The sequence below is a fragment of the Homo sapiens genome, chromosome 11 (genome assembly GCF_000001405.40).
Source record: "Homo sapiens chromosome 11, GRCh38.p14 Primary Assembly".
NCBI lineage: Eukaryota > Metazoa > Chordata > Mammalia > Primates > Hominidae > Homo > Homo sapiens.
The window spans coordinates 114,830,026-114,848,798 of record NC_000011.10 but is presented as its reverse complement, the minus strand read 5'-3'; the positions used below and the strand labels follow the sequence as shown (position 1 = coordinate 114,848,798).

The 18,773-nt window shown below is 39.2% G+C and overlaps 1 long non-coding RNA gene across 1 annotated transcript in view, besides 1 other annotated feature; it reads left to right on the top strand.

The window, feature by feature from the left end:
• The window catches only part of LOC105369506 (uncharacterized), a 95,796-nt gene that overhangs the window by 23,968 nt on the left and 53,055 nt on the right, over positions 1–18,773 (top strand). The gene's annotated exons all lie outside the window — the stretch shown is intronic.
• Positions 1,505–2,004: an enhancer, noted in NCBI's record as "H3K4me1 hESC enhancer chr11:114717517-114718016 (GRCh37/hg19 assembly coordinates)". NCBI's record gives its function as "activates a minimal SCP1, AML or CMV promoter by ChIP-STARR-seq in naive H9 embryonic stem cells {active_cell/tissue: H9 hESC(naive)}" and the evidence as "EXISTENCE:reporter gene assay evidence [ECO:0000049][PMID:30033119]".

Here is an 18,773-nt window from a genome sequence, read left to right as displayed (position 1 = left end):
TTTTCTGTGAAAGGCCACATGTAAATTTTTGGGCTTGGGACAGCCATACAGGCTATGCAGGTGTAGGTGTGAAAACAGCTATAGACAATATGTAAACCTATAGGCCAAAAATCCCCCTTTATTTACCAAAACAAGGGGTGGGCAGAACTTAGCCCACTGGCTGTCAGTTTGCCCACCCTGGTTTATAGACTTACAGAGAAGAGAACTGAACACAAATTATAACATCAACCCTTGCCCCTCCTTTGAAGTTACACCTTCTAGTAAGGCAATAAGAATGCTTTTCCTTTCTTCCTCTTCCTTCTTTCCTTTCTTCCTTTTTCTCTCTCTTCCTTCTTTTTTTTCCTTTTAACTTCCAGTCTTTCTTCCTCCTTTTGTTATTTTCCTTTTTCTTCTTCTTCTTTTCTTTTTTACTTCTAGTCTTTCTTGCTTTCTACATCTCTTTCTTCCATCCTCCCAGCAAATATTTACTGAGCACCTACTTCACAGCCTCTGCCCTGAGCTCTGCTGACTCCTCCCCACTGTAAGCTCTAAGCACTTTGTTTCTAGCGGTGCTCCGGGGAGCGAAGAGGGAAGGGATGGGTTTGGGGGGAGGTGAAAAAGGGAGTACAATCCACAAAAAAGGGGGGTTTGCTGTAGGATCTTCAACCCCAGCAGGAGGCATAAAGGTACAGGCGTCTACTCCCGAGTCTCCGTTTCAGCATTCCTTTCATCTAGAGTAAGACTCTTTAATTTGTAAACATTAATAACCATTATTATTATTAAAAAGGAAAGAAAGTGAGTAGCCCTGTAACTAATTACTTTAAGTGTTCTCAACAAGGCACAGTTCAACTCCTTTATAAAACCACCTGCTGTGAAGACCAGATTGTCATTATGATCAGATCCTTCCTTAGACCTATTAATTTTACCCAGAATAACAGCAGAACAGATGCAAGAAGAAGGCTAGTCTGATTAACATAATTCTTTTCAAAGACCATTTCCTCCCTAAGGGCCACCGTACTGAGTCTTCTATCTTGTCTCAGATCTAATTACATTCAGGAGAATTCAGACACTGACGGGCGATCTCAGCAGATGTCACTTCTCAGATTTGAAGCACACTTCAGGATATGAAACCTTATCAGAAAATCAATTGAAATTAACAATTCCCTCTCTCTTTCTCTCCATCTCTTCCCTCAGCCAGCGCTCTCTCTCCCTGTCTTTTCCTCCCTCTTTCCCTTTTCTTTAGCCAGATTAAAGTTGTTTCCAAACACTAACCTTTCTCAGGAGGAGAGACAGCATTTCCGGGAATTCAATAAACCTGAAACTCAAACCGTTGCTTACCTTTTGAAGTGTTTTCTCGGCTTCTCCCTAGCTTAGCATAATGAGGGTGGGTGTGTGTGTGTGTGTGTGTATGTATGTATTATGAGCAGCAGTTCTTGAGGGTCTCTATAGGGTATAAAAATAAGGTAAAAACAGGAGAAACAGAAGGGCTTTCTGCAGCACATTGAAAAGATACACACCACAAGCTATCTCTTCAGTATCTGATCTCTGATTGAAACCAGAACCGATTTGGATCCCAGTGTCTCATCTTTGATGGGCAAAAGCTGCAGGTTTACAATAGAGTCTCTTGCTGCTTTTAATGAAGTATTTGACTTTTTGCCTGCTGCTTTCAATTGAGCTCTGGGAGCTTTGGATAGAAGTCTAAGGGGAGCAGCAAAGGAGTGGAGGCTAGGGTTTTGGTGCCTAGTGCCTAGGTCAAGGTATGGCAGACCCAGAGCTCCAGCAGCACCAGAACCTCCTCTCTTTACTCAGCCTCACCATTACCTCTAGTGCCTTTTGTTCAGGGATCTCAGAATATAGAAAATGAGGCCTGAAGAACCAATTACTTGAAAACCAACCACTCTTTTTCCTGCTATCATGCTTAAGCTCCATTGTAGTATGCATTGCCTTGACTCTCCAAAGATGCCTGGGTATAGGAAAATAATGCCATAGACAGGAGTATTTAAGGACATGACTGTAGGCAGAAACCATGGCCAAGCTATCTATTTTACATTTCCTGGGAGAACAATGAAGAAAGAGGTAGAAAGTGGAGCATGCACTTCTGCATTATGCATTGGCTTTTTGCGGTTTGCAGATGCTGTTCAGTGCCTTGCTAACACAGAGCACTAGGCGGCCTCCACTCCCCAAAGTCTCATTGCAACAGCTGCTGTTGCTTGGCTGGGCCTGACTCAGCGTCTCTGTGGTGGTGTTCCTCAGGGTGGCCAGCTGGGTGTTCTCTCCAGACAGCCTGTGACTTTGGCACAGGCCCTCTGGGAAGCTGCCAGAACAAGAGCATTGAAGCAGGATGGGCACTAGGCATTGCTTGGCAGGAACACTGAAAAATCTCCCAATCTTTACACTGGTGGGGTTATAGCTAGAGAGGGAAACTCTAGGAGAGGTGAAGAGAGTTATGGAAACCAGAGCATTTTTGTCACTTTCTGGCTTGCATTGTACATCTTGCTTTCGACCCCATCGAGAGTCTAGGAGAATTTGACTTTTAAATACCTGTCTATGCTATTTGGCTTTTCCATAGTCCAGCCCTGAGAATGACACCAGCATGTGCATAATTGATGAGTGAGGAGCCTGCTGGCTCCAGAGAGATTGCTCTGTCTCAGGCTTTACACTCTGAGGATTTCTAAGAAGGTTTATACTTATGCAGTAGTTACAACAATAAAACAAGAAGAAACAAACCCCATGCTCTTCCAGGGTTTGCTGAGTGAAATGTCATCATTATACAGTCTGCTGTTGTGGGAGAGTGAGGAAGCTTATTATGGTAGAAGGGAGGCCCGTGGTATGTCTGGGGGTCCATAGCAGCGAGAGGTTTCTCATACCATCTGTGCTTTTGCAAAGCTGTAGGCAAGCTAATGCATTAAGGTTAGTGCCACTGAAGCCTGCCTGGGCTGGTTAGGTGTTCCTGCAGTGCTCAGTTTGTTGCTGCCTTTGGGAAAAGAGAGCCCAACTAGGACTCAAGTGGAAGGGATGTGAGTGAGTCTCCAAAGTTCAGCCTCCACCTTGGTTTTGCTGGGTTTAACGTGAAAAAGTAGGTTCTGCTGGTATAGTTTTGGGTACTCTGAATGGAAAAATATGTTGGTTTGTGATTGCAACATCCTTATGGGCAGTCTAATCCATAATTCAATGAAAAACTAGCTATGGAGTATCTTTAATCTGTAAAAGCTTTCATTTACTCAGCATTTATTAAGCATCTACCATGTGCACTGCAATGTGGTAGATACTAGAGAAAAGTGATAAGAAATAAATCAGACATGGTCTCTGACAGACACTAAAGTAATTTACAGTATGGTGGATACACACAAACAATATACAGAAGTGGAAACAGATGGGAATGTTAATATAAAGATGATCAATTTCAAGTTTTCAAAAGGAATTATAATTTCTGTAGTATACAGGGGCTTCCTCTATTTTAAAACAACATTTTTTTCCTTAAAAACAAATAAAATATATGTTTATCTGTCAAAATGTGGAAAAATAGAAAATTCCCCCTAATCTCATCAGCCACAAATAATCACTATTGATGGTGATACTTGGATATCTCATATGAATCTTAAGCATTACAAGCTTATAACTGAATTTTATTTCTACATATACATAAACACTTAACATAAGTGTGCACACACACACAAACAACCCTGAATCAAACCCACACCATCTGCTCTATCCTCATATCATGGCAGCCTCTCAATGGCACCATCATTCAAATGGTTGTTTAACACAAAAACTGGGAGTTATTGTGAATGACTCCATCTCCTTATCTAACATCCAATTATCCACAAGTCCTTTCTATTCTAATCTACAAAATATAACTAAACCTACCTATTTTGCTCCCTCTTCACTGCCACAACCCAGCTCAAACCAACCTGCTCGCCTAGATTACTCAATACTCTTTCATTAAGCCTACCGATTTCACTCTTGCCTCCTCCACTCCATTCTCCATATCATAATTTTTAAAAAGTAAATTGGATAAAATCATTCTTCTGTGTAATACCTTCAGTGGTTTCCAGCTGTACTTAAAATCAACTTCTTTTTCTGATGATAAGGCAGGCTACATTGTTTGGATGATCCTCATGTTGAAAACAACTAAGTATAATGAATAACTTTTTTAAAAGATTCTTAAAGGCATCAAAGGGCCAATCTTATGGCAAAGAACTATTATGTCAAAATCTATTGGAAATTAAGAACCCTGAGCATCAAATGGTGTATTTTGCCCCAGTGGTATTTGCTGAACTGGGTGAACTGATTATAACCTCATCAAACAATGAAGACAATAATCAAATCCCTAAACCTTTCTAAAGTGGGGCATGAAATAGGACACTTCCCCCACAAAAAGCTGGGACACCAAAAGGCAGGTGTAGCCACCCCACCCCAGGGATTTAAAGGAAGATTTCCCCAGCTCTGAGCGGATCTGTGAGAGAAAAAAATAAGCTCTCTTCTAGAAGTAAGTACAAAATGGTCCCCTAGTAAATTTGTGGGCTAAATTCTCATGAACTGAAAGGGACATTAAAAAGCTGGGATTTTAGTTATTTCTTGCCTTCTGCTAGCTTTTGAATGTTTGCTCTTGCTTTTCTAGTTCTTTTAATTGTGATGTTAGGGTGTCAATTTTGGATCTTTCCTGCTTTCTCTTGTGGGCATTTAGTGCTATAAATTTCCCTCTACACACTGCTTTGAATGCGTCCCAGAGATTCTGGTATGTTGTGTCTTTGTTCTCGTTGGTTTCAAAGAACATCTTTATTTCTGCCTTCATTTCGTTATCTACCCAGTAGTCATTCAGGAGCAGGTTGTTCAGTTTCCATGTAGTTGAGCGGCTTTGAGTGAGATTCTTAATCCTGAGTTCTAGTTTGATTGCACTGTGGTCTGAGAGATAGTTTGTTATAATTTCTGTTCTTTTACATTTGCTGAGGAGAGCTTTACTTCCAACTGTGTGGTCAATTTTGGAATAGGTGTGGTGTGTTGCTGAAAAAAATGTATATTCTGTTGATTTGGGGTGGAGAGTTCTGTAGATGTCTATTAGGTCCGCTTGGTGCAGAGCTGAGTTCAATTCCTGGGTATCCTTGTTGACTTTCTGTCTCGTTGATCTGTCTAATGTTGACAGTGGGGTGTTAAAGTCTCCCATTATTAATGTGTGGGAGTCTAAGTCTCTTTGTAGGTCACTCAGGACTTGCTTTATGAATCTGGGTGCTCCTGTATTGGGTGCATATATATTTAGGATAGTTAGCTCCTCTTGTTGAATTGATCCCTTTACCATTATGTAATGGCCTTCTTTGTCTCTTTTGATCTTTGTTGGTTTAAAGTCTGTTTTATCAGAGACTAGGATTGCAACCCCTGTCTTTTTTTGTTTTCCATTTGCTTGGTAGATCTTCCTCCATCCTTTTATTTTGAGCCTATGTGTGTCTCTGCCTGTGAGATGGGTTTCCTGAATACAGCACACTGATGGGTCTTGACTCTTTATCCAACTTGCCAGTCTGTGTCTTTTAATTGGAGCATTTAGTCCATTTACATTTAAAGTTAATATTGTTATGTGTGAATTTGATCCTGTCATTATGATGTTAGCTGGTGATTTTGCTCGTTAGTTGATGCAGTTTCTTCCTAGTCTCAATGGTCTTTACATTTTGGCATGATTTTGCAGCGGCTGGTACCGGTTGTTCCTTTCCATGTTTAGCGCTTCCTTCAGGAGCTCTTTTAGGGCAGGCCTGGTGGTGACAAAATCTCTCAGCATTTGCTTGTCTGTAAAGTATTTTATTTCTCCTTCACTTATGAAGCTTAGTTTGGCTGGATATGAAATTCTGGGTTGAAAATTCTTTTCTTTAAGAAATAACTAAAATCAGAGCAGAACTGAAGGAAATAGAGACACAAAAAACCCTTCAAAAAATCAATGAATCCAGGAGCTGGTTTTTTGAAAGGATCAACAAAATTGATAGACCGCTAGCAAGACTAATAAAGAAAAAAAGAGAGAAGAATCAAATAGACACAATAAAAAATGATAAAGGGGATATCACCACCAATCCCACAGAAATACAAACTACCATCAGAGAATACTACAAACACCTCTACGCAAATAAACTAGAAAATCTAGAAGAAATGGATGCATTCCTCGACACATACACTCTCCCAAGGAAGATCTACCAAGGAAATGGATCTTCCTCCATCCTTTTATTTTGAGCCTATGTGTGTCTCTGCACATGAGATGGGTTTCCTGAATACAGCACACTGATGGGTCTCTCCCAAGACTAAACCAGGAAGAAGTTGAATCTCTGAATAGACCAATAACAGGAGCTGAAATTGGGGCAATAATCAATAGTTTACCAACCAAAAAGAGTCCAGGACCAGATGGATTCACAGCCGAATTCTACCAGAGGTACAAGGAGGAACTGGTACCATTCCTTCTGAAACTATTCCAATCAATAGAAAAAGAGGGAACCCTCCCTAACTCATTTTATGAGGCCAGCATCATTCTGATACCAAAGCCAGGCAGAGACACAACCAAAAAACAGAATTTTAGACCAATATCCTTGATGAACATTGATGCAAAAATCCTCAATAAAATACTGGCAAACCGAATCCAGCAGCACATCAAAAAGCTTATCCACCATGATCAAGTGGGCTTCATCCCTGGGATGCAAGGCTGGTTCAATATATGCAAATCAATAAATGTAATCCAGCATATAAACAGAGCCAAAGACAAAAACCACATGATTATCTCAATAGATGCAGAAAAAGCCTTTGACAAAATTCAACAACCTTCATGCTAAAAACTCTCAATAAATTAGGTATTGATGGGACGTATTTCAAAATAATAAGAGCTGTCTATGACAGACCCACAGCCAATATCATACTGAATGGGCAAAAACTGGAAGCATTCCCTTTGAAAACTGGCACAAAACAGGGATGCCCTCTCTCACCACTCCTATTCATCAGAGTGTTGGAAGTTCTGGCCAGGGCAATCAGGCAGGAGAAGGAAATAAAGGGTATTCAATTAGGAAAAGAGGAAGTCAAATTGTCCCTGTTTGCAGACGACATGATTGTTTATCTAGAAAACCCCATCGTCTCAGCCCAAAATCTCCTTAAGCTGATAAGCAACTTCAGCAAAGTCTCAGGATACAAAATCAATGTACAAAAATCACAAGCATTCTTATACACCAACAACAGACAGAGAGCCAAATCATGAGTGAACTCCCATTCACAATTGCTTCAAAGAGAATAAAATACCTAGGAATCCAACTTACAAGGGATGTGAAGGACCTCTTCAAGGAGAACTACAAACCACTGCTCAAGGAAATAAAAGAGGATACAAACAAATGGAAGAACATTCCATGCTCATGGGTAGGAAGAATCAATATCATGAAAATGGCCATACTGCCCAAGGTAATTTACAGATTCAATGCCATCCCCATCAAGCTACCAATGACTTTCTTCACAGAATTGGAAAAAACTACTTTAAAGCTCATATGGAACCAAAAAAGAGCCCGCATCGCCAAGTCAATCCTAAGCCAAAAGAACAAAGCTGGAGGCGTCACACTACCTGACTTCAAACTATACTACAAGGCTACAGTAACCAAAACAGCATGGTACTGGTACCAAAACAGAGATATAGATCAATGGAACAGAACAGAGCCCTCAGAAATAACGCCGCATACCTACAACTATCTGATCTTTGACAAACCTGAGAAAAACAAGCAATGGGGAAAGGATTCCCTATTTAATAAATGGTGCTGGGAAAACTGGCTAGCCATATGTAGAAAGCTGAAACTGGATCCCTTCCTTACACCTTATACAAAAATCAATTCAAGATGGATTAAAGATTTAAACGTTAGACCTAAAACCATAAAAACCCTAGAAGAAAACCTAGGCATTACCATTCAGGACATAGGCATGGGCAAGGACTTCATGTCCAAAACACCAAAAGCAATGGCAACAAAAGACAAAATTGACAAATGGGATCTAATTAAACTAAAGAGCTTCTGCACAGCAAAAGAAACTACCATCAGAGTGAACAGGCAACCTACAACATGGGAGAAAATTTTCACAACCTACTCATCTGACAAAGGGCTAATATCCAGAATCTACAATGAACTCAAACAAATTTACAAGAAAAAAACAAACAACCCCATCAAAAAGTGGGCAAAGGACATGAACAGACACTTCTCAAAAGAAGACATTTATGCAGCCAAAAAACACATGAAAAAATGCTCATCATCACTGGCCATCAGAGAAATGCAAATCAAAACCACTATGAGATATCATCTCACACCAGTTAGAATGGCAATCATTAAAAAGTCAGGAAACAACAGGTGCTGGAGAGGATGTGGAGAAATAGGAACACTTTTACACTGTTGGTGGGACTGTAAACTAGTTCAACCATTGTGGAAGTCAGTATGGCGATTCCTCAGGGATCTAGAACTAGAAATACCATTTGACCCAGCCATCCCATTACTGGGTATATACCCAAATGACTATAAATCATGCTGCTATAAAGACACATGCACACGTATGTTTATTGCGGCATTATTCACAATAGCAAAGACTTGGAACCAACCCAAATGTCCAACAATGATAGACTGGATTAAGAAAATGTGGCACATATACACCATGGAATACTATGCAGCCATAAAAAATGATGAGTTCATGTCCTTTGTAGGGACATGGATGAAATTGGAAATCATCATTCTCAGTAAACTATTGCAAGAACAAAAAACCAAACACCGCATATTCTCACTCATAGGTGGGAATTGAACAATGAGATCACATGGACACATGAAGGGGAATATCACACTTTGGGGACTGTGGTGGGGTGGGGGGAGCGGGGAGGGATAGCATTGGGAGATATACCTAAGGCTAGATGACGAGTTAGTGGGTGCAGCGCACCAGCATGGCACATGTATACATATGTAACTAACCTGCACAATGTGCACATGTACCCTAAAACTTAAAGTATAATAAAAAAAAAGAAAAAGAAAAAAATAAAAATAAAAAAATAAAAAAATAAAAAGCTGGGAATATGGTTTGCCATGGCCAAACTCTAGAAGTACACATAGGCATAAACAAAATAAAACCTACATAAATTATCTTTGAAGGAAGTTATACTATGCTTCAATGATGTCTCAGAAATAATTTTCCAAAGATAATGAATAGAACACAGCAGAAAATACCAAGATACAAAGCATAAAGCATCATGAGGAAGAATCAGCATAACCAACAGACAGCAAAAACAGTCTGAGAGAAACTTTATATTAAATTAACATAAGTATTTTATAATCCATATTTAGAGAAAAACAATATATTAAAAAATATCTTCATGGAACAGAAAACCATAAAAAGCAACCTAGAATATTTGAAATAAAAACAAATGGAAATTCCAGGAATGAAAAATACAGTAATAGAGACTCAATGGGTTTAACAGCTGACATGCTAATAAAAAAGAATTAGTGAACTAGACAATAACTTAGATATTACCCAAAAAGCAGCAGAGAGTAAAAAATGAAAATATGAAAGAGACTAGGAAGATAGAATGAGACCTGATTTTTGCTTATTTCAAGTTTTAGATGGAGAGGAGAGACAGAATGAGGCAGAGGTGATATTTGAAGATAAAACGACTAAGAATTTTTTTGAAACTCTTTAAAGGCAGATTTAAGAGTCCTTACAAATCCAAACAATATAAACAAAAAGAACTTCACTCTTAGATTACTCATAGTGAATTTTAGGATACCACAGATGGTGAGAAGCTCTTAAAATCAGCCAGAGGAAAAAGTGTGCAGTTATAATGACAGCTGAACTCTCAACAACACTGCATTTATAACCAAATCTTAATTCCTTGTTTTAGCTCTAAGCTCCTGTATGAGCTACGTCTGACCTCCCTTTTCCATCTTCACATGTGCTGCTCTCTCCCTCTCTCCCTTGCTCTGCATTCACTGGACCTCTCTCATGGCCATGAACACAGTACACTTTTTCCCATCTCTGCAGACACTGCTCCACCTGCCTGGAATGTTCATCTACCTCTTTCCACATGACTAGCTCCTTATCCTTCAGGTCCTAGGACCATTTAGGCTAACCTAAATGTCACCTCCTCAATGAAGCTTCTCTAACCACCCAGTCTGGAGTAATTCTTAAAATTCTTTCTCATACAATTTTATTTTTTCTCTCTTGTTTCTGCATGTCTTCTGCTAAACTATGCTCCATGAATACCAGAACTGTAAGTATTTTGTTCAGACTTCTATGCCTAGCAGCCTGAAGAATTCCTCATGCACAATAAGAACTCACTGAATAATTGTGAGAAGAATATTTTCATATAGACACTTCCTGTCTTTTCCTAGGTACATTGACTTACATGGTTATATATCATTTTAACTTTTTTATTTTTATGAATATGGCAACTAGAAAGTCTATGTTTTAAAATTGTTAATACACCATAAACTATTTTCCATGAGTATAAACATTCTTCTACAACTTGATTTCTGATGGCTGCATGTTAGTCCATCATAAAGATATCATTATTTATTTAACTAACCTATTACTATTGCTGTTGAATGTTTAGATTGATCCTCTAAATCCTGATGTGAATAAATCTTTTATTTTTTCTTATTTCTGTAGCAATAGCACCTAAGCCAAAATACAAAAGGGCTTCTTTCTCTCACTCCCTCCCTCTCGCTCTCTCCATATACATATATATATAAAGTATACATATATATAATATACATATATATAAAGTATACATATATAATATACATATATATAAAGTATACATATATATAATATACATATAAAGTATACATATATAATATACATATATATAAAGTATACATATACATAATATACATATATATAAAGTATACATATGTATAATATACATATATAATACACATATATAAAAAATATACATATAATATACATATATAAAATATACATATATACATATACATTTGTTACATATATAATATACATATATATAAAATCTCACAAAAATCTCTCTGTATAAAAATAAAAGAGAATTAGTGAACTAGAAAATAGCTCAGAGAGATATTACCCCTAAAGCAGCAGAGAATAAAAAATGAAAATATGAAAGAGATTAAGAAGATAGGATGAGACCTAATATTTGTTTAATTCAAGCATATATATATATATATGATATATATGAAAATACATATGTGCTGAAAAATCTCTGTCATATTCCTGTATCCCAAACACTCAGTTTTCCTACCCAGGGCCAACCACTGTTACTTTGTTTAATGTACATTATCATTTTGACCTATAAAAGTGGCAATTTCATCAAATTTTCCTTTCCCTTTCTACAAGTTGTACCTTAGTAAACCCAGTGTATACTCCACCTTGGTGTTCTTTGGTTGTTGTTTGCTTTCTTAACAGCATACCTTGGGTATTGTTTTATATCAGCACATAAAGATCTATCACATTCTTTTTAGGTGTTGCTTAATACTGTACTGTATGTTGTGTGTATATTATAACATGATGTATTTAACCTATCATTGGATATATCTAGAATAAACTCCTAGATGTGAAATAGCATACTTAATTAAATTTGTGTTGATTTTGTTAAATAGATCTCCTTAGAAGTTGTACCACAATGTGTGTCTACTAGCAACATAAAAGACTGCATGTTTGCTTACACTCTCAACACCAATATCCTCTCAAACTTTCAGATGTTTATCCATCTGATATTTAAAAATTTTATCTTGTAGTTTTATTTTGCATTTATTTTATTAGTAATGGGACTGGTTGATAACCTTTTTCATTCATCTGAGGGCCATTTGTATTTCTTTTTCTGTGAATTATTTATATCATTGCCCATTTTCTAATGGATCGTTGTTTTTTCTTTATTGATTTGTAGTTACTCTTTACATTTTAGCCCCCATTCTGTTATCCATAATACTCAGAACTGAAAGCATTTTCACAAATTCATTGCTAAAACTCATTTAGTGTAAAACTTTTGACTTGGATGAATGTGTGGTTTTATCCATCTCGCTGGCTGTGAATATTCATTTGTATGCTGCAGAAATAACAATGTATTTGGTTATAGAATGTTCCCCTGATGCTGCTTGAGGTTTCATAATATACAAAGTATTTACAGTATTACCCTCCCCGAAAATTTTAAAACCCAGTGGTTTTAGATAAGAAACGGTAGAAAATTGAGAAGAAATTTTTTTCCCAGTTGACTGCTTCTCCTCACTCTTCCCTACATATTCAGAGGCAGAGAAGCCAGGATATAGGCAAAATAGAAGTTTCTTTGAATCCAGTGTCAAATACAGATTTTCACCATTGGATCATAATCTGCCCATGTTACAGCCATGTTTCTCTGTGGAAGGCATTTCCAAATGCGTGATGGAATCAAAGCAGCTCATCGAAACTTTTTTACTTGCAAATCCAAGTTGGCAGATGAATCTGTTTACAGAAATATCAGTCACGGTTATCACAAACATGGGCTGGATTTCACACAATAATATTTTTATTGTCTTATATCACCTAATAAATCATATATTTATAGAAACAAATTTTAAGGCATCTTAGTAGAAAAACCTTGTTCACTGAGATTATTAATGATTGTTCCCATGTTTTCTCATAGTACTTTTATGGATTCCTCTTTCACATTTGTATATTTGATCCATCTGAAATTTATTTTGGCACATGAAGCGAGCTAGAAACTCAATATTTTATCAGATGGCTACCCAGTTGTCCCAACTACGTTCACTGATAATTCATCTTCACTCCATTAACTTGAAATGTTATCTTTATCATACACCAAATTATTATATGTATTTGAGTCTATTTCTAGGTTTTCTTGTTTGTTTTATTAGTGGGTCAATTTAGTACAAAGGGTGGGCTATTGATTCATTTTGCTATATTGCTCTTTAGAAAGGTGCTATCAGTTTATACTCACATTAACAGTGTATGAGTATATTGCCCCTCCACACCCTTGACAACACTTAACCTCATCACATCTTAAATCTTTTATCATTTTGGAAAATGAAAAGTATAATTTAATTGATTTTTGTTTGCATCTTTATTACTATCAAGGCTGAAGTTTTGTGTGTGTGTATGTGTGTGTGTGTGTGTGTTTGGTTTATTGAACACTTATGTCTCTTTTTTTGTAAATTAGATGTTTGTATCTTTGGCCCGTATATCTAAGGAGACATTTAACTTTTTCTTGATGCTAAGAGTTTTCTTTAATCTTTCCCAGAGGTTCTGTTGATGTCAAGAACTATATTAGAAAAGCAGGCTGGATGGAGGAGATCATTCTAAAATGTATTTTCAATAGTGTGTCTAAAAGTGGAGAGCCTTTTAAATAATGAGGGGAAGGAGATAGGTTATAACAATACTAACTATGAACTGAATGTCTGTGTCTCCCCAGAATTCATATGTTGCTGCCTAATCCCCAGTGTGGTAGTATTGGGAGGTGGGGCCTTTTGGAAGTGATTATTATGAGGGATTAGTGTCCTGTAAGAACAGATACTAGAGAGCTTGCTTCCTCTCTTTGATCTCCCCCACATGAAAACACATCAAGAAGAATGTCACCTGCAAACCAGGAAAGCAGTCCCTCACCAGAATCTGACCATGCTGGCACCCTGATCTAGGACTTCCCAGCCTCCAGAACTATGAGAAATAAATGTCTGTTGCTTAAGCAACCCAGTCAATGGTATTCTGTTATAGCTGCCAGAACTAAGACAATGTCTAATTTTGGGAACCACTTATATGCCAGTACTTTTCAAGTTTCTGTTCATTGTTTCATCAGAATCACCTTACAAGGTAGGGATTATCATTATCACTGTTTCTCAGATAAAGAAACTATGGCTTGATGATTAAATAGCAAACTCAAAGTCACATAGCTAGGACATTACAGAATCACAACTAAAATTCAGCTCTCTGACACCAAAGTGAGTGCAATGTCTCTACTGAAATCCTGTACTCCACTTGCTCCAGACTAGTGAAAAAGTCAGATCTATCCATATACAAAACAGTGAGGTAGATAAAGTTTGTCTTCAATGCACTGGTTTCTGTGTCTATCACACAGATGGACGGGTATCCTATGGACTGCACCTCCCATCCCATCAGCACCCAAGGTGCTCAGAGGTGCCCCCAGGTGATCAGAGCTCTTGACCGCAGTGCCCAATGGGCCTGACCCCTACTCCTAGTACCCTCACCTGTGGACATGTCCCTGAACCTTCCCCTTTTTTTTCCTCAAAATTTCCCTGGCCTTCGAACTAAATGCCACAGTTTCTGCTAATTTGCTCAACCAAATTGAACAGAGTTTTTAATGAATGCTAATGAATTAATATATTATTCACATAGAAGCCAGGAGGACAGAGGTGAAGAAAAAAACTGGGCAAAGTTTACCAAGTAACAAATATAAATTTGGATTTCTGGGTAGTGTAGGTTCTTTTTCTCTAGGGATCCCTCTGAGAAGAAAAGTAAGCATTGGCGCAAGGCTAGCCTGGATAAGGGAAGATGATCTGGGGGACCAGGTGAGCCCTAGCTGCTAGGTGCACTGTGCCTCCCCAGTGTGGCTCCAGTGCAGACCTTGGTCCCCTAGCCTTAGTGCCCACCTGTACTCAGCAGCTCTTTCACCCCAAGGGACCAGCCCAACTAGTAAATACTGGTGATGGGCAGTGTGAAAGAGCAGTGTGAAGGAAGCTGTCATTGGAGAGCTGGGGCTTCCAGGAGGGTAATGCTCCAAAAAGCAGATCAGAGATCATTCAGCTCACACCTAGGGAAAGACTCCTCTAGCCCCTCAAACTTTCCATGAATTGATTCAGTGCTATATAAAGAGTAAGAAAAGAATAGCTCCATATTCATACTCAAATCTCAAAACCTTGTAAATGTAAAGACAGATCCCATCCTTGGAAGATCTACCTGATCTACTGTATTTGCCTCCTGGAGGATTACTTCTGTAGCTTTGCCACCATGGAAGAGCAAGGAAAGGGGGCTGGACACAGAATAAATATCACCCTCATGTTTCCCACCTCAGATTGTACAAATAGCTCTTATTTTGTAGATGCACAAGGGGTGGGCAAATGGGAGATAATCTATATATTTTTCAATTAACAAGGGCAGTAAAATATTTTCAGAAATATTTGCTTGAGGCTTCAGGTTTTCTCTCTAGACTTTTTTTCCCCCTTTGATAATGAGAGATACTTGTGAGGGATGTATGGTGCAAAGACCTGAATCCATCACCACGTGATTTAATCTGGAAGTGAGATTCTGAATGAGATGAGCTCTCATGTCCTCTCCAGCCAGATGCTTCTGGGATTGTGTCTGACTTTACCTGAAGTGACAAACTGCTTTCAGAATAGAAAATGAGAAATGATTAATTATACCCAATTGAATGAAAACGTTATTAAGAACCCCTTGCATTTTTCTTACTACTGTGTCTCTTTACCCTTTTGAGGCATTAAGGTATTTCAAAGCTATCATGAGGTTAAAATAACCTCATCATGAGTGCTTTGAAATAGGTAAGATATGCATTATTCTCCCATTCTCATGGAAGAGGAAACTGAGGCCTGGGAGGTCCAGGGGCTTGCCCAAATCCCAGCAGGAGTCCAGTTCCCTCTCTGACAGTCCCAGCTATTTCCACTGGGTGTGCTTCCCTTCCCCACAAGACTTTGCTGATAAGAGTGGGTTTTTCCCCCCAAGCCCCATTGCATTGGACAGATGCATTAAAAGCTCCCCTGGGTAGAGAAATCCCGGGACCAACAGGTAGTTTTCCATTAATAAAGCAAAAATACAAATTAAGCCATTCTCTTGGTGATTCTAGAACAGGACTCCCCCCCTCTTCCCCTGCCCCCCAGGAATCCACAAACACATTTTTAAATAACAAAAGAAAATTGAGTACCTGATGCAGTTAACAGTGGTCTCATGGGGGCTAGGGAGACCAGAAAAAGAGTCTATTATTTTGCACCTGTCCTGCCCAATAGCTCATTGTGCAGCAGTATTTACTTAAAAAGTAGAGGAGGAAATCATTATTTGCTCTTAGTCCTGTGATTCCCGTGGCTACGCTCTTTGGAGGAAGTGTTTTATTTTTTTTTCTCCTTCTCCCATGCTTGAGTTGCAAGAGGTAAATGTGGAAGTGCCTGGCACATACAATACGGAGAATCAGCACAGAGGCCAGGATGGAAGCTTAGCACACGCCTGCTAGGCTTTCTGCTTCCTTTTATGTCTGGACAGCGATGAAGGGCCATGAGCTCAAAAGGGAGGGTTCTCTCCCTCTCTATCCATCTCTCTCTCTGTCTCTCTCTCTCCCCCCATGCATTATATATGCATACTATATATGTATACATGCGTTAAGTACATGAAGACAAACATTTGTATTTACATATATGGTGTGTGTATTACATGCATATTATCTTAACATATTTTTATTATGTGTGTGTATTAAACACACATATTCCACTTCCCTCCTCCTAAACAGCAGTGCTGGCAAACACTGAAAAAAAAATAAAAAATACACAACCTGAAGAAAAAAAAAAAAAGGAAAAGGCAAAGCCCCGTTTTAAATGTTGTAAGTATCTTCTAGTTACTAATGTCTCCCCGTCTAAATGGCTGTGTTTCTCTAGCTGGAAATTGGCAGCAATCAGCTTGACAAGTGTTGGGGAAAGATTTACTTGGACAGATGAAAGAAAATCATTTCCTCCTTAATGCTGGTGCCCACCGCAGATAATGTGGCACTCCCCTGCTTGGCAGAGGGCAGTGCATTTTGAAGGAGCTTGTTTTCTTGGAAAATATAGTCATTGGGCAGGGAAGACAAAAATATGACCAGGCTGGTAAAAATGTTATTGTTAAAGGTAACAAGGTGTTAAAGGCAGTGCTTTAAAAGTGGAGAGCCTTTCCTAAAGCTTGGAGAGGAGGGTGGGCAGAGGGATAAATGGCACTGGGGGAGAGAGAGGACCTGCAGGACTGGCTGACCTTATCTTTAGCCATTTTTGTGTCCTTTGCATTCCTGCAGAATATTAGTGCAGAAAGGGGCCGATACAAAGATCTTGTGCCCCTGCCATGTCTTATGCTCATAGAGGAGGGAAAGCATCTTGCTTACGTCACAAAGTAGTTGGAGGTGGACCTGGGGCTGGCAATCTCCAGACTCCCAGCTGCATGCAGTTTGGTTAATAGATGAACAGCATGCAGTCCACCATTCTTTACACTACACAAACAGTTTTCAATCTTCCTGTGTTTCAGGAACTTTCCAAGGATGGGAGGAAAGGTAGGAGCTACTTGTTATGTTTGGGGTCCAAACCAGCTTCAATGAGAGCAGCTCTACTTGTTATTTGTTTTAGTTAATAGCCTTCTAGAAGCTATTTGAAGGAAGAGGTTCTGTGGCTAGAAAGAGTATGAAAACCAATGCGTCTGTTGGACAATAGCTCCTTTAGGCTACTATATCCTCCCTCAGGATTCACCCTATTTGCTGCTCATGGTCCCAGACTTAAGCCACCCTCCCTGACATATTTTTTGTACCAGATTTGCTCATTCATCAGATTTTGACCTTTCCGCTAATTCTTGCTTTCCTGCCCTAACCCTCCATCTCTCCTTTGCCCTTTGGATGGCATGTTCAACACTGTGTCCCTCACGGTGATGTAAATTTCTCTACATGATTATTCTACTTCTATTCCCCACTCACTGCCTCAGCCATCACAGGCTGCTTTGGGTGCCTGTCCCTTATATTTGACTCACACAGGCTCCTCTTATCATCTACCTGCTACTGATTCCCAAAATATTTCTTTAGCCAGCATCACTGGCCCCGGTTTCAAACTAATATGTCTGAGCATATCCTGGATATATTCATGGAACTGTCTCATGTAATAACCTTTCTTCTCAAATTCATTCCTATTGTCATTTTGCTGTTTCACTTGGCAGGACCAGCACCTAAACCAGAGATGCAACTTTCTCCTACAGCAGTCAATTGCCAAATCTTGCCAATTTTATCTTTCTCTCAATTCTCCCATTTCCTCTCTATTTCTACTACCACCACTCTGGCCTGGGCTCTCATTGTCTCATCCCTGGCCTTCCACAATAACCTCCTCAACTGATGGTCTTGGCTTTGCTCTGTCTTTCCCATGTGTGATCTCTGGACAAATGCAAGAATGAACTACTTGAAAAGCAGATCAAGCCATACCTGAGACTATTTCCAGTCAAAGCCCCCTGCCATGGAACGACTGGCTACAGCTCTCTGTAATCTAGCCCCAGCCTACTTCTCCAGCCTCGTCTTCCGCCCTTCCCCAGCATGCACTTTTAACTCCAACAAACCAAGCTGTGTGCAGTTTCATGTGCCATGGTGTTTCTTTCCTCCTTGTCTTTGCTCTTGCTGTCCCTTCTGCTTGTCATGCCCTCCCTACCATCTCCTCTTCTCATAGCCTGTTTGAACTCTTACATCTCAGGTTTTTCCTCTGCCAGGAAAACTTTCCTGTCCTCCTCCCCTCCAGACAAAGTGGCTTAGATGCCCCTTCCCACAGCTCTCTTGACACCCTGGGCCTGCCTGTCTCTATCCATTCATTCCACCAAGATCCATTGATTGCCTACTACATGCCAGACATGGTGCTGGAAACAGCAGTGATTACAACAAAGAAAAAACCTTTCCTCTTGGATATTCAACTCTACTGGGTAAGAAACAAGATACATAAGTAACATTTAGTATGTTAGCCAGTGCTAAGGGCTAAGGAGAAAAATAGAGCAAAAAAGAGGAAAAAGCAGTTTAGACAGCATGGCCAAAGAAAGTCTTATGAAGAAAGTGACATTTGAGAAAGATTTGGGGCCTG